Source organism: Homo sapiens, chromosome 2 (assembly GCF_000001405.40).
Source record: "Homo sapiens chromosome 2, GRCh38.p14 Primary Assembly".
Taxonomy (NCBI): Eukaryota; Metazoa; Chordata; class Mammalia; order Primates; family Hominidae; genus Homo; species Homo sapiens.
The window spans coordinates 2334986-2352053 of NC_000002.12; positions in this window are offsets into that span (position 1 = coordinate 2334986).

A 17068-nucleotide genomic window follows, 5' to 3' on the forward strand; every position below is an offset into this window, starting at 1 on the left:
GAGGAGCCGGGAACTAGACCTTCATGGAAAGCATGACGATGACTTCATGACCTTTTCTTCAGAATTATGTCTGCACCAGTGATGGAGAGCTGTGACATCTAAAGGGAGTCTGAGATTAATTTAGGTCTGGAGCAAACAGCATAGAATTGCTATAGTTGGGTAGTAAATTGGTAAAACCTGGAATCCAGATATTACTATATCAGAGTGTACACTATGCAAAATCAGGCACTAACATAGCCCTCCGCCACTGTATTGGGGAACAACTTTCCAAGTTAGCTATATATCAGAGAGGGGGTGGTTTATTAATTTATCAATGATAAGGATGGGGAACCCATTTTCATTACAGGGAATTAGCTTCAACTAATCAAAACATCTATAGAGTGACTCAATAGCAAATAGATAAAAGAAATAAGGTGTTGGTGGTTAATTTGCTAAATAGAATAATGAGAAAGAAATTTAGGAGACATATCATGAAGAAGAGCTGAGGTATCAAGAATAGTTGTGGTCAGATAGAATTTGGTTGTGTAATCTCGGTGAAATGACTGGACCACAAGGGGTAGACCATGAACCTCAGAGCTCATGCGTTATTTTTGCAGCTATCCCAGGCTGACCATTCTATTCAGTATAAACCCATATTAGGGGAGTCTGGAGCAGGTAGAGTTGAAAACATCTGTATTCAGATCACTTGGCCTGATTTTATAGAACTGGTTATTTATTGGCAAAATATATAGATATAAATATGAAATATAATTCTGAGATCTAAAAGAGCATTGAGAATTTAAGATGTAGGTAAGGGGTGCCCAACCCCAGTCCATGTCTCTTAGGGACTGGGCCGCACCACAGGAGGTGAATGGTGGGGAAGTGAGCATTATTGCCTGAGCTCCGACAAGTCAGTGGCGACATTAGACTCTCATGAGAGTGTGATCCCTATAGTGAACTGTGTGTGTGAGGGATCTAGGTTGTGTGCTCCTTATGAAAATCTAATGCCTGATGATCTGAGGTGAAACACCTCCCCACCCCGACACGTTCTGTGGAAAAATTGTCTTCCATGAATGAAACCAGTCCCTGATGCCAAAAAGGTTGGGTACTGCTGGTTTAGATTATTATAACCAGCAAACTAAGATAATCTATAGAAGGTATTTATTCTACTCAAAGTCTATAATTTTATAAAATGTCTGCAATTTTGTGAAAGTAAATACCTTTCATTTCACCCTCAGTGGCCCAATAAATTCAAAAATACGCATATTGCAACAAAACTTTCCACATTACCTGCACACCCTTGAGACTCAGTCTCTGAACTATTTTGCATCTGGGGTTTTTATATCGCATTTCATTTCTTTGTGCTATCAGGTTAGTATCTGCAATGATTCAAGCTATTTGAAGAAAGGGACTTATGCCTTTTAGCTTATGAGTACATAGGAATAGTGCTGGTCTAAATCAGGTTCTCAATAAGAATATTTTTATTTATTTTTATAATTAGCTTATGGGTCTCATCCCTGAAGTTAAAAAAAAAAGCCACTTACTTTATTCAAAATTATATTTTTCTTCACTGTACAGAAAACAGTAATAATTATCATGCTCATTTAGAAGAGTTTTGGTGCTGAAAATCATTCAGAAAAGAGAATCTAGAAAAAAACATGGAGGCAGAGAAGACGATGGGGTTCAACAAAAGGAGAAAGATGTACAGCCCGGTCCACACTGTAGTAATTGTTTCACTCTTTCTGAATTTCCAGCATTGGAACCTCCTTCCTACATCCCAACCCTCCCCAATATTTGAGCCTCCTTAGTAGGTAGGGACTGCCTCTCACTCTAGATACTAAAATAACAAGCTATTTATTTTTCCAACTTCTCTTTCAGCAAAGACATGGACACATGGCCTACGATTCACCATTATGACATGCCCAATTTAGATTTTGAATTGTGTGTTGATCCCACAGAAAACCATATTCCTTAAAGATTCTCCTATGGCAATGGTGGTTGTGCAGTATAATTGAGAAAGAGTGGCAGTGTGTAGGGTTTATGGTGGTTGTAGCAGCATCCTGAGAAAACCAGCTGTGCTATATACTTTTAGATATTATCACTAATGTGCTAATCTCCAAGTTTGAGATTTCAACCATCCTAGTAGATCTGACTTGTGTGCTTAATTCAGTCAGAATATTTACTTGTAACTAAGTACACGAAATGAGGCACATGTGTTTACTAAGAATGCAGACAACTCAATCTCTGAGAAACAGCAGTTTTGTTATCTTTCCTGGTAGAAAACATCTCATAAGACAGGAATTTGTCAGCTCATGATACATGGTAGAAAACCAATTAAATGGCCAGCCCTGACCGTATGGAATAATTTGCTGAAATAGATGGGTGTTCTACAAAGTTCCTACTTGATTTACGGAACTGAAGAAATTTGGTATCTGTGCACAGGTGTCGGACCTGAGTCCTACCATAAAGATTTGAGGATCCTCACCCAATCTCGGAAATAAGTTGGCTTCTAGACTCAGGATATCTAAAATGAAGACATGCCTTTAAAGAATGATCTTGCAGTAACATCGTGAACATAAATGTCCTTTCCCAGATGGCCCTACAGCCGTTTGTCAGAGTAATTCTGTATTTGAAAACAGAAATGCCCCTAACTCATGGGCTTCATTGGACTTTGGCTTGCCTCAACTTCTGGGAACCCAGAATACCAAGTGGTCCACTTGAGAGAGATGTACAGGGAGTGAGGCTGGTGATGCATGCTCAGTGGGGCCTTAAACCCTCCCTTCATTTCCCCAAAATTCCTATGGGCAGAGATGAAAACCATATATTCAATAAGCTGGGTGTAGTGGTGCCCACATGTAGTCCTAGCTACTCAGGAAGCTGAGATAGGTGTATCACTGGAGCCCAAGAGTTCAAGGCTGCAGGGAGCTATGATCATGTCACTGCACTCCAGACACAGTGACATACAATGATAGACTGGATTAAGAAAACGTGGCACATATACACCATGGAATACTATGCAGCCATAAAAAATGATGAGTTCATGTCCTTTGTAGGGACATGGATGAAGCTGGAAACCATCATTCTCAGAAAACTATCGCAAGGACAAAAAACCAAACACCGCATGTTCTCACTCATAGGTGGGAATTGAACAATGAGAACACATGGACACAGGAAGGGGAACATCACACACCGGGGCTTGTTGTGGGGTGGGGGGAGGGAGGAGGGATAGCATTAGGAGATATACCTAATGTTAAATGATGAGTTAATGGGTACAGCACAACAACATGGCACATGTATACATATGTAACAAACCTGCACGTTGTGCACATGTACCCTAAAACTTACAGTATAATAATAAAAAAAAGATATTTTCAATAGCCAGCAGAATCCCCTCCCTGGATCCCTAATAAATGGACTATCAAAATAGTAAATCGAAATAATAATTTTATTATTATTATACTTTAAGTTTTAGGGTACATGTGCACAACGTGCAGGTTTGTTACATATGTAACAAGTACTGTGACATTGCTGGGGAAATGATAGCTGTAAAGTTGCCAGTGGTGATAACGGAAGGCATGCTGGTCTTTCATTCTTTGGTGGGGCTAGCACAGAAGACGGGATTCTGGAGAACCGTGGTGAGCTGATAGAGGACGAAGTTCCAAATGTAGCTTCTCTACTCCAGCAAATCCTCATAGCTCCAACCACAAGGAAATGGATGTTATCCCAATGAAAGGATTAGACCAAGATTAGTATTTCTTCCTATTTTAGGAACAACAACACATCTTCACTGTCCTATCCTAGGTTATATTAATTCTTTATCTTTGCAGAAAATACAATTTCTCTCTGCCCAGAGGACATAAGGGTGGCCCCACTACAGCAATGATAGAACACTGCAAGAACCTGGAGAACAGGGGCCAGTGTTCACGCTACATTTCTTGACAAAATAGAGACCTGCTAGAGATCAGAAAGTGAATTCAACAAAAATATAGGGGTCTGCACCTTATAAAGTTACTGGAATCTGATTGTTTGGGGAATGGCCAGGTTATGTTTCTAAACAGAAAGGCAAGAAGCGTTGCCTTCCACTCCTGGTTTCCTCTTTTTGGAGGCTCAGGCTACTGTGGGAGCAGGTTGCATAGGGGTTAGGTGTTCAGTAAAGGGATTGACCCAGATTATCAAAGGAATACAGGGGTCGCTACACGGGGAGGGCCCCGCTCTAACTTCAGGGCCATGAACTGAAAGCCCCTCATTTTTTCATCTTAAATATGGCATCTTGGTGGACTAATGACTAACCTGAAAGCAAAAAGAAGATTCTTGGGGCATCTTTCAATAATGCCAGGTTCAGTCATAACAGCCAAAGGAAGACTAGAGCTTCCAACACTGAGAACTCATCTCTCTCACTGCAGACGCCATCCTACAAGGTGAGCACCTCTGACCAGCTGAGGAGCCGGCTGGATGCAGAGAGCCTGGGACAGAGCCAGGAAGATGCTCATGCTCACCTTGTAGACAAAAGGCTTAGAATATTTAACTGCATTTATCTTCCTTCCTGGGTCATGTACATCTTTATATAACTGAATTAATTTTCTGCTTTTCTCTCTTTCCCCTGTCATTTTAAGGTGATAGTGGCCTATAGTATGAAGCATGTTGACATGGAATTGTAGCAGAATAGAGAAGAAGTGGGCACAAGCTAGGAATCCTGGACTGGGAGCTGAGCACAGAGAATCAAGCCATTCCTTTCTAAGAACTGGGGGAATGATCTCGTTCAGGAGAGGATTGAGTTAAGATGCATAAGTGCTTTTTAGGGATGTGTGCTGATGTGGGGCAGCATGGGATGAAAATAGCAGACACTTACTCCATGTTGATGCTTCACAGAGGAAGGTCACACCCTGAGAGCCTGGGCAGGTGGAGAAGGCTTCTCCGGTGAGTGCAAGAATGGAGGAGGCGCTGGAGCTGTTCTGAGGGAACCCCCTCAGCGGCCTGGACATTAGAAATGGCCTCAGCCCTCTGTCCTCATCTTCCACTCCTGAGCATTCGGCAAGATGCCAGTATCTTGTTAATAAATGGCCTTTTCTGCTGAAAGGAGCCTGTTGGTTTCCTTTGTTTATATCTCAGAGCTTTCACTGATACAACACACAGACACAGAATACAAAGGCACACACACACACAGATACCTAAACCCTGGGTCTTTCAAGGTAAGAGCCCAAGCTCCGGCACAGTTTCTCCTTTTCTACCTCTCATCATGGATCTGCTGCCACCCTTCACCCCAAACCCTGGCCTGTTTGCTTTCTGAGAAGTGGTCTTGTTCATTCATTACCATCTTCTGAGCCTTTGTGTGGAGTGGCCCTGCTCCGCACAAATCCGATGAGTTCTGGCTCCAAAACTTGTTTCTCTCTCAGCTGCAAATGCAAAATCCTCTAGACTCCAGAAACAAAATAAATTGCACCACAGTCCAAATCCTATCAGAAATGAAACAAGTAAGTAGGCTAAAAAACCCCACAAACTTTATGGCATAGTTAGTTACCAACCCTTTTGTGATATCAAGCTGGAAGAAACTTTGCAAGGAGAAATATCTTAACAATGTTTCTTTGATGTGTGGTCTTATTCATTTGTAATAAAGGACAATTCCTGTTTTTCTTTTAATACACTACACAGCAGGTGTTCTCTTTCCCAATTATGGACTGAAAGGCCTTTGTCTTCTATTTCATCTTATTCTTGTGATAGATGTAGGAGCCATGGGTGTCTCCTGAGAGCTTGTTGAAAACGCAGCATCTTGGGCCCCTCTCGGACCCACTGACGTAGGATCTGCCTTTAACCTAACTCTTCTGTGAACTGTACGCACAGTAAAGTTTGAGAAACACTGGACTGGATCAGTGCCTTCCAAAAGATATATACTTTAAGCCTCAGGTTTAATTAAATTTATTCTAATAGCTACATATTTTGAAACAGAAACAGGTGAAATAAGCTTTGATAATTCATTTTACTTAATACACATAGAATATTGTTAATCAGCATCCAATTTATTAATGAGATATTTTACTTTTTTTTTGAGAAGGAGTTTTGCTCTTGTTGCCCAGGCTGGAGTGCACTGGCACAATTTCTGCTCACCGCAACCCCCGCCTCCTGGGTTCAAGTGATTCTCCTGCCTCAGCCTCCTTAGTAGCTGGGATTACGGGCATGCACCACCATGCCCGGCTAATTTTGTATTTTGAGTAGAGATGGGGTTTCTCCATGTTGGCCAGGCTGGTCTTGAACTCCTGACTTCAGGTGATCCGCCCGCCTCAGCCTCCCAACGTGCTGGGATTACAGGCGTGAGCCATGGTGCCCAGCCTTTTTTTTTGAGATGGAGTCTCACTCTGTTGCCCAGGCTGGAGTGCAATGGCGCAATCTTGGCTCACCACAACCTCCACTTCCCAGGTTCAAGTGATTCTCCTGCCTCGGCCACCTGAGTAGCTGGGATTACAGGCACGTGCCAACATGCCACGCTAAGTTTTGTATTTTTAGTAGAGACGGGGTTTCACTATGTTGGCCAGGCTGGTCTGAGATCCTGACCTCGTGATCTGCCTGCCTTGGCCTCCCAAAGCATTGGGATTACAGGTGTGAGCCACTGTGCCTGGCCTATTTTACATTTTTAAAAACAATCTGGTGTGTGTTCTGCACTTAAACCCCATCAGAATTTGTACCAGCAGCGTTTCAAGGGTTCAATTGCCACACTTCACTGGTGACTACCATATTGAATTCTCGGATAGAAACTGCCAGATTTCTCCTCTAGTTTCACACTGGGATAGGTCTGCTGGACTTCCCCCTGTCTACAGAAACCATAGAAATACCCTATGGGGCAATGTGAAATACTGTCGATAACCAAAGATCCAGCACATTTTCACACATAGACATAAATATTAATAAATATTCATTGACTGACTGAATACATGAATGTTTGCTCAACACTGGGACACGTGCTTGGACTCTTGTCCCCGCCCTTAAGAATGTCTTTGTGGATCCTTCCCTTCTGCCTGCTTCAATTGTCATCTGGTTGTTACTGTATAATCTTGTAACTTGTGTTCTACTTAGATTCCTTTAGTTGTATGTAACAAAAAGAAAGGCATGGGATATTCTGCAGCTTTGGAGTTTGGGAACTCAGTCAATGCTGTTTATTCTACATCTGCTCTTCCTGCCTCACATTTCCCTGGATCTCCGGGGTTGGCCTGTCTGTCCTATAACTGCCACAGGCCCTTCCTAGGAAGCCTGTCCATTCCCCAGGGCTCTGGACCTGTGTTTCTGTTTGACTTGCTCTGCTATTCATTCCCTAACCTTTCTGAAAGTCCAGTGTGGACAACAACATATATTGTATTGGCTTTTAGATCTTTTACCAATGTAAATTTCAGAGGCCTCTCCTGACAACATTCTGTGATTGATGGCAAGTTTTATACCAGGGTGCCTGAGACATGCTTCTTCTGCACTATTTCTGAATGTATGCATTCATGAGCTGTGCTGTTTTTCCTTGAACCTACTTTCACCCTCATCTGAAAAGAATTTCAAAGGCTGGAGTTGAATTCCCATGTTATTTTATGGAGGCCATGAGAAGTGGTGTTTGGAACCTCTCTCTTTAAATTTATCTTAAATAGTTGCCTAATGCAGACAATCTACTTTAGTTTGTAGAATTGGAATCTCATTTTCCAAATTCACTTATAATAAAAACACAAGCAGATGTTAGAATTATAGGAAATTAGAAGTGAAAAGGCTACCTTAGAGATGATCTACGTTATAGTTTAGAAAACTGAAGTCTAGAAAGGTGGTGACTGGTCTGATATCATTGATGAGAGAAAAAGTGAGAGAGAGAGACAGAGAGAAAACAGAGATAGAGACAGAGGGAGACAGAGAGACAAAGAGAGATGAGACAGGCAGATAGAGACAGAAAGAGATCCTTTAAGCTACCACAGTCACTCACTCAGGATGGAGTACTGGCCTGCATGAATAAACCTGGTGGTTTGTCCAATAAATTATACTATCTTAAAGACATCTAAGAATGTTTGGTTAGCAGGAAATTAAAACTTCTTTTCTAGGCCACTAGAGCTCAAATTGGGACATTAACTCAAATTTGAATACGTGTATCTGCACGGTGGATTTCAAGCTAGGTCTCTTTGAATTTGCTGTGTTCCTTTAATCAGTTCTAAGTGACAGAGGGGCTTCACAAAATACCTTCCATACATTATCTGCATGGTGGATTTCAAGCTAGGTCTCATCGAATTTGCTGTGTTCCTTTAACCAGATCTAAGTGACAGAGGGGCTTCACAAAATACCTTCCATACATTATTTTACTTAATTTGAAAGTCAGAAGATATACTTATAAAGTAATATGAGTGATTTAAAAAATACTCAAACTGAAGACATTCAAAATACTCTTTCTCTTTCATGAGGATCATATTTATTCCAGAGCTTTATATTGTTTGAGACAAGGCTTAAGTTCTTCAAGATAAGTTTGGGATACCTTTAGGTTATCTGGCATATCTTATGTAATTTCTTCATTGCAGAAAAATCTTTATTCTTGGAAGTCGAATGTCTAGAAAGAGCCAAAATTGTTAAAATATCAATTCTAGTAAATAAAATAAATTCTCCATTTGTTAATACTGTTCAGACAAAAAAGTAAAATGTGTTTAAAAGGTAACAAGGCAAATTTTTAAATGTATGCCTTAAAATCTGGGTCCGAAAGATGGGTCTCAAATAAAAAACCTATGTTGGTCACAGCCTCAAAATCCCAGCCACGTGAAACCCTGATTAGAATCTGCTCCTGAGGCCTCCTGGCTTCTCTGGCACTTGACATTGTGAAGAACACCAAAGGCAGATTGAGCATATTCAATAATGTAAAAAGGAGTCAGATCTGAAAGTATCCAGCAAAGCCAACATGAAGGCAAAAACAAAATAACAGTTGTTCTAACCAGAGCGTGGGCTTTGTAATGGGTGGGGACTTAGACCCTAGGGTAGGTGAAGGGTCAACTTGCAGCATGACCTCCAGCAGGGGCTGAGCATCAAAACGGGAAGCGCAGAGAACCGTCAGGTCAATCCTTGTACTGCAAGACCCATTTTTCTTCAGTGGGGACACTTAGTAGGTCCTCAGCAGCAAATGCCTCCTCTCTACCACTCCTACTGAGGAGCACTGTGAGATCAGGAAGAGACAGACTGCAAAGGGAGAGAAGGGCCACAGAAACTGGAAGGGGCCCAGGGGAAGGGTGGAGTGGAGAGGCAGGGTGAGGTTCTGAGGAGAGCTCAGGAGAACAGCAAGCCTGATTTCACAGGCGTGGCAATTAGGGAAGTTAGAAGGCACATTTATTAAAATACAGTGTATGTACTTAAAGGTCTTAGATTTGTTCTCATTTTATTTTTCAAGTTTCATATTTATTGTCATCAATTAGAAAATGCAAATAAAGAATAAGAAAAAAAAAGCATAAAGTTCCACTGCCAGCTTTAATGCAATTAATGTTATGTTATGCTCAGACATTTTTTAAACATTGTTTTCTACTTGTTACACTAAACATAAAATAATAAAATCCATTCATTTGGCCTTTCCTCAGCAGCTTCTTTAAAAAATATAAGACATCTATCTTTATATTTTGAATATCCCTATTTTATAATGAGAACTGAGTGGTCGCTTATGCAATACAACAATAACTGCAAAAATTGAAGATAAGAGAAAAACTTAGAAATATGGTAGACCCACTTCTCTTTATAGTTGAGAAAACAGGCCTCAAGAAATGAAGAATGTTACCTCCACTAAGACCTTTTTATTTGTTGTGACTGCCAGCAAGTACATTCAATGATTTAATTATTTAACGGAGTCCAAAAATCACAAGAGAGGAAAGCAGTCTCCACCCAATGGGTGCCCTTTAGGCCAGGATTTTATATTCAGCTTAATGCTAGAGGTCCTAACTAACATAACTTCAATGCAGACAATGTAATTGTAACCATAAGGAGGTAAGGTGCGATTTCTGCATGCAAGATCATCACTCCGTTATCACGCTTACTCCATGCAGTCATGCTGGCCCTGGTGGTTCTGTGCACAGACACCCTGAACCCACACAGCCACTTGCCTGGGTCTGGGCACTGGCTTCGTGGCTTCCTAGCTCTGAGGTCGTCAGCGAATGACCCTTGTGCCTGTGTTTTCTCCTGTGCAAAATGAGGAAAACAGCAGCACCTGCTTCATGAGGTTGTTCTGACAATTCCAAGAGTTGATTCCTATAAAGTGAGCAAAGTGTGTCCACACCTAATATGTTCAATCAATGCTGGAGGCTACATTGTTCCTGTTTTTGTGACTATAAACCATGGCATTAGTTCCCTCTAGGGAGGAATGTTGGGGAATAAAGGAAATGAGAATTTGGGCGAGCATAAGAGGACCTAACTTATATTCAGTGTTGCATTTATTTTTTAAAAAATGAAAAAAATGACAACATGTTAACATTAGGTAATTTATGTTGTGTACTTGGTATTATATATTTCCCGTATTTTTCTAAGTATCTAAAAATGCTTATATTTTAAAACATATATAATGTTTGCCAGCATAGCCTAAGACCATTTTATCTTTATCTTAATTTCCTCCAAACATAACAGTATAGATACATCATAGGCCTTTTCTATTTTGTCTTTCAACCTTTTTAAGTTATAAAATAAAAAAAGATACAGGAATATGACACAGAACTGATGCAGAGAAAATAAATTCTTCTGAAGGAAACCACTCTCTTGACCTCCACTCAGGTAAAAAAATAGGACTTTTCCAGCCCCCCACACCAGGCTCTCCACGTGCTGAGTCCTGAACACAGCGGCCTTCTTCCTCCACAAATTCACCTGGATCATGGAGTCTCCTGTATTTTTCTTAACTTCATGTGCATGGTGCAGTTCAACATGTTCTTCTGTCCTCTGAGTTTCCTGCCTAGGGCATCCTGGACTCCAGGCTTCAGAAGGATTGCGTCCCACACCTAAGGCCTGCCTTTCATGGGGCCAAGTGTTTCCATGAGGAAGCACGTCATGTTTGGGATATTTTGGTGGTGTTATCAGTGGTTGCTGCTCAGTGACTAGATAAATGGATTCTGTGGAGATTACAAAATGCTGACGTTCTAATTCAATCACTTAATTTTTCCTTATTAGATGGAATATTTTTACAAGGAGAAGCTTCCCTCACCTGCACGATTTGGTCTCTGGTAGACTTCATGTGGGAAAGGCAGAATAAGTACTTGGTTCTTTCCTTTTTTTAACTGTTGTCAAGATAATTAGTTTCCTATCATCCTTCAAAGGTGACCGTTTAATTTTTTAAAAAGTTTTCTAATGAGGTGGATTTAAACATATTCATTAGGTTTCTATGCATTATCATTATCTTCCTAATTGAAGCTCAAGCTGTTCCATCTTTGGGTGGTGGGGCCTCTTCAGGGTGAACCTTGTGTCTTCAAGATGACGCCAGTAGTCTTTGATAGCTTTCTTTCCATTTGGTATGTCACGATGTCCCGGGCTCATTTTGTACCCTTCTGCTCCAGTTTCCTGAGAAGTTCTAATTTGTTTTCCTGAGGAATGATATTTCTGGACCACAATCTGGGGCTAGGGATGAATGTTGCCGCTGCATTGGCATTGTTTCTAGGCTTTTTCAGTAAACACAGCCAGGAGATCAAACAAGATCAAACAAGTTATAAGTTCCTATTGATACTTCCCATCAAATTCAGGACCACAGGTTTTTCATGTAGTCTCTTATTGTACTAGCCTGTTCTCATGCTGCTAATAGAGACATCCACAAGACTGGGCAATTTATAAAGGAAAAAGGTTTAATTGACTCACAGTTCCACATGGCTGGGGAGGCCTCACGATTACAGCTAAAGGTGAATAAGGAGCAAAGTCATGTTTTACATGGTGGCAAGCAAGAGAATGTGTGCAAGGGGAAGTCCACTATTCACTATCATGAGAACAGCATGGGAAAAACCCACCCTCATGATTAAATACCTCCTACCGGGTCCCTCCCATGACAGGTGGCAATTATGCAAGCTACAATTCAAGAAGAGATTTGGCTGGGGACACAGCCAAACTGTATCACTTATATAGTTCACATCTACTTTCTTCTGTTTAAAAAATCTATCAAGGACTGTGCAGATGATTTATTTAAAATATCCCATAATTACTTTCTTTTTGCTTTAGCCCTAAAAAGTGTATTAGTCTCAAAATGACAGTACTAAATATTACCACCATCAATATGATTACGGAGAAGTTTCAAAATTATTTTTCCAATTGGTTGTCTGGTTCTTCCTTCATTTTTATGGTTGAACTATAGTTATATTGTCAAAGGATATAACCATTAAATATGATCCTTTCTACCTTTTACCCATATGTAGTGTAATGTCTATGAGGAGCTGTCTGTTTAATGATGATATAGTCTTTCCATTCAAATCTGCTTTGTGATTTTGATTCACAGAAGCTCACTGTCTAGAAGGCTCCTCAAGAAAAACTTATGGGAACACATTCCCTGAGGCTTGAGGGTGTTTTTTGGCTGGATATAAAAATCCTTGGTTCACATTTCTTTCAGGATCTTACAAAGCTCACTGCACTTTTATGTACAAATTTCCACCAAGCCAGGCTGTCCGGGATTCCCTCAGCTCTCTCCCCTGAACCTCCATGTCCTGGACCCACCTGCCTGCCCTCCTTCCCAGGTCTATCTGGACAAACCTATCTCCCAAATTCCCCACATTTTCTTTGAGTGTTCCCACTCTCCTTGCCTTGACTGACACCTGGCACATTCTGTGGCTCTCCTCCATCCTCCCGCCAGTCTCTCAAAGAGACTTGTCTCTTTGCTCACAGAACCAATGAGGTGAGAAACCGCCCTGCTTTGTTCACTCGTGTTACACTAATACTCAGCAACACATGGGGCAATAGTTAGCTGCCTACTGAATGTGTTAATTGAACAAATGAGTGAATGAATGAATGAATGAATGAATGAATAAGGATGTTCAACAAGCAAAATCTAAGAAAAACTAAAGCAGTTTCAAAAGAGGGAAAGAAAGAAAAAGTAATTGTCAGAGTGATCCCTGGAATTAAGAACTAAGGCTTACCTCAAAGCGAGCAGCCTGTGTGGTGCCGTACATTGATAGAAGCTGATGCCAGAAAGGGAGGAACCTGCAGAAGTACCGTTAAAAAAAAGTAGATTTTAGAACCCTAAATTTCATTCCAATTCATCTTCATTACTTCACCTCTTTTCACCTCTGGCTGTCTTCAAAGAAAACAAGGAGGAAAGTGAAATCTCTATTAAAAAAGGACTTATCCACCACCCTTCAAGGAACTGGGTGAATTTCAGGAGGGTTTCCCATGGCTCCCCTCCTCTTCTGTCACCTTATTTGGGTTTTCCTCTGGTTTAACCCTCACCATGGAATACTCTATTTTGTAGTGATTTGACATATGGCTGATTTTCCCCAAAGAGAATGAATTATTTATCTTTCTATGCTTTGCACACCCAAGAATAACATATTCTATAAAATAAGTACTCAAAGTGTATTGAGTTGAAGAATGCTGAATCCTGATAATTGTTCGCATTGTCATTAGAAACATGGAGTATATTTGAAGAAGCAGAGGAGGCACAGACCAAAAGTTCTGATAATCTGGCTCCTCACGTACTTATATACATTTATATTTAAAAAATAGACACACTGAGACTCTCCTTGCACACTCACCAGCTCGGAAATGAGAGGAATTTTTTCATGATCAAGCAATTTAAATGGGGATTTGAGAAAAATATATTAATCTTTGGAACACAGAAAGGTCACTATCAATCCTCTAAACTCCACTTGGGCATATTGAATTAATGATCTCTTGGGGGTTAACTTATTTCAGGAGAAGATGGAAAAAATTTATAAAAAATAAAACTAAGGCAATTTAGAACACCGAAGAAACAATTTAAAGAATATAAAGAGAAGAAAGTCCTCATACTAAGCAGTCAAGACTGATGTCTTGAACAATATAATTCTTTTGCTAATGTTGACCTACAGTGAATTATTATTTGTCACGGTTATTTCACCAATAATAGGACAGAGGAATAAATACATACAATATGTCAAAAATACATTTTTAAAATTTTAACAATTTTTAAATTATTAAAATTAAGAATAAAATGTGATTATCCTATGCTCAAGTTTAACTTTTTGTTCAACTCTAAAACTAAAACATTTTAAATACAAGCATCCACTGCCCTTTAATGTTTATTTTATATTTTGTATATTAACACACACATACCATTTTTTATTTTCCCTAATTCTCTTCAACGGATTTTACCAATTTTTGGTGGAGAAAGGGAACAGAGAAGGAACTCATCTGTGCATATAGGATATTTTTAAAGTAGATTTGCTCTCTTATCAGGAATTTTTATTGAAATTTAGTCCTTATGCTTTTTAGTTAAATTATCATTCGATTCTATTCCAAATGTGCTTAGTACTAATTTTTCTCTAATTCTTAATTACTGTCATGTTCAGCACTGAGGATAAATTTGGTTTTCCAAGTTTGTTTTTATTTTTGCAATAACTTCCACTTATATTTAGTAAATTTTCTGAACAATATTGATGAATATTTATCTTCATATAAGCATTAAAACTGTTTTTCGTGTTATGTTTATAGCCACTATACAGTTTATTTCATATAGCTGTAGCCTCCTGCTGGACATGAAGAGAGTTCCCTAAATATTTCATGCATGATGACTTTGTAAACCTGTGTTAATCACTTTCCTGTTTCTTAAAATTTGGCTAGAGCCTGTCTGACAACAACATGAATGGGACAGAGTGTCTTTATTATTAACCACAATTTCTTCTTCTGATGTCTGTATCTCTTTTCTCTTTTCCTCATTTACTCTGGACTAGAACAAAATGAAATTTTCTTGTTGTCACAATATTCTCTCCATTAATAAATTCCCATGGGTGCCTCCATTGTTCCTTCTGTGCCTCTGAGGTCTTCATTGCCAGCGTACACCTGAGCTAGGCCTATTACCATCAGTAACCTCTCCCGAAATCCTCCTCTCATGCTTACTTTTAGCTTGTTTCTTTTTTTGTCATTATTACACCTTATTAGCTTCTCTCTCTACCAGAAAGTTTACTTCATGCATCTTTTCTTGCTTTTTTGTATTTTCTTTGTCCACTGCATTGTCATTGCGACTTTCTTGTTTAGTTACAGAAAGCTTAACTTCCAAGCGTGCGTCGCTTCCTTTAAAGAATAATAGGAAGGAAACTATAATACAAATTTTCTTTCTTCCTTACAGATAATTTGATTTTTCTTCCTCAATAGACACCTGACACCCAAATTTCCCACATGTGGCACTGTCTTTGCTGTGAGAGTGGGGCCCTGTGGACAGGGACAGACTGCCTGGCTCTGACAGGCTCTGGGAGCGGATCACAGGCACCACCTCTGTGGGTTAGTGGGAAGGCAGAGTGGTGCCTTCATCCATGCCTCTAGGTACTCTGCAGATGAGCACTTTCTCTTCTGAACTACTTTCCTTCAGTGATCAATCACAACTTGTAATCACTTGGGGTCAAATATGTCAGGCAAAATCATCCTGTTCTACTGCATGTGAACAACTCAGAACCCAATTACGAAACCCCCTCTCTCTGCTTTCATAACTTCTAACCTCACTGCCAAGTTTTGCCAAAGCTGTGGCTCATTGAATGCTCATGCTCACGTGTTTCAATAGTAATAATAAATATCACATATACAAGACAGTCCAGTCCCTCCATTGTTTTTACATGATGTGTTCCCGTGTCTGCAAGAATCATTAGTTGATGTCAACTGGAGTCCTACAGAGAGAAAGTTCTGGTATTGCAAATGAGAATTCCCCCATGCACTAACGATCATAAGAAAAGCCAGAAGATAAAACAGGCCACACTGATTTATTAAGAAATAAAGTATTTCTTAATTTATATAAATTCTTAGGCAAATATAAAAGCACAAAGTTGTTTTATCCCAGCTGGGCACTTTTAACTAACTTACTTTACAGTATTGATTTATTGAGCCACTGCAATATTCCAGATATTTAGATATAAAAAGTCTGGAAAAACAATAATAACAACCATTTATAGAATAGTTTTAAGTGCTATATATTGTGGTAGGCACTTTACATCTATTAATTGTCTCATTTTCTCCTCACATAAGAGCTGCGAGGTGTGTAGTGTAACAGCCATATAATAGTTGAGAAAATGGAAATAAAGAGGAATCATAAAATGCAAACAAGTTATTTCTCCACATCCTCTCCAGCACCTGTTGTTTCCTGACTTTTTAATGATCACCAGTCTAACTGGCATGAGATGGTGTCTCATTGTGGTTTTGATTTGCATTTCTCTAATGACAAGTGATGATGAGCTTTTTTTCATGTTTCTTGGGCACATAAATGTCTTCTTTGGAGAAGTGTCTGTTCATATCATTTGCTCACTATTTGATGGCTTTTTTTGTTGTTGTTGTAAATTTGTTTAAGTTCCTTGTAGATTCTGGATATTAGCCCTTTGTCAGATGGATAGATTGAAAAAATTTTCTCCCATTCTGTAGGTTGCCTGTTCACTCTGATGATAGTCCCTTTTGCTGTGCACAGTTGATGGGTGCAGCAAAGCACCATGGCACGTGTATACCTATGTAACAAACCTGCACATTCTGCACATGTATCCCAGAACTTAAAGTGTAATTAAAAAAAACAAGTTAATTGACTGATAATTTAGTTTAAAACCAAACCCATTTAGATTTTATTCCTTGGATAGATATTTCTCTAAGACAAGATCTACGGAATAAACTTTGTGTGTAGTATTTTAAATATTTCACTGAATATACAATTATCCAAGTAAAAATCAGGTATCTCTCAAATTATTCAACCCAAAGAATGACCTGAGTTTATTTACAAAGTAATTTTCTAAACAGTTAAATATTTTTATTAAAAAATCTAATTATAACTGCAGCAAGAAGAGAAAGTGTGTACCCTCATGTTGAATTTTGTTTTTAATTCATTGTCATAATTGACACAAAAAAATTGGAGTTCTCTGTGTGTGTATTTGAAAACTACAGCTTATTTTTCTAACTTAGACTATCATTTATCGCAGATTGCACCTGTAAT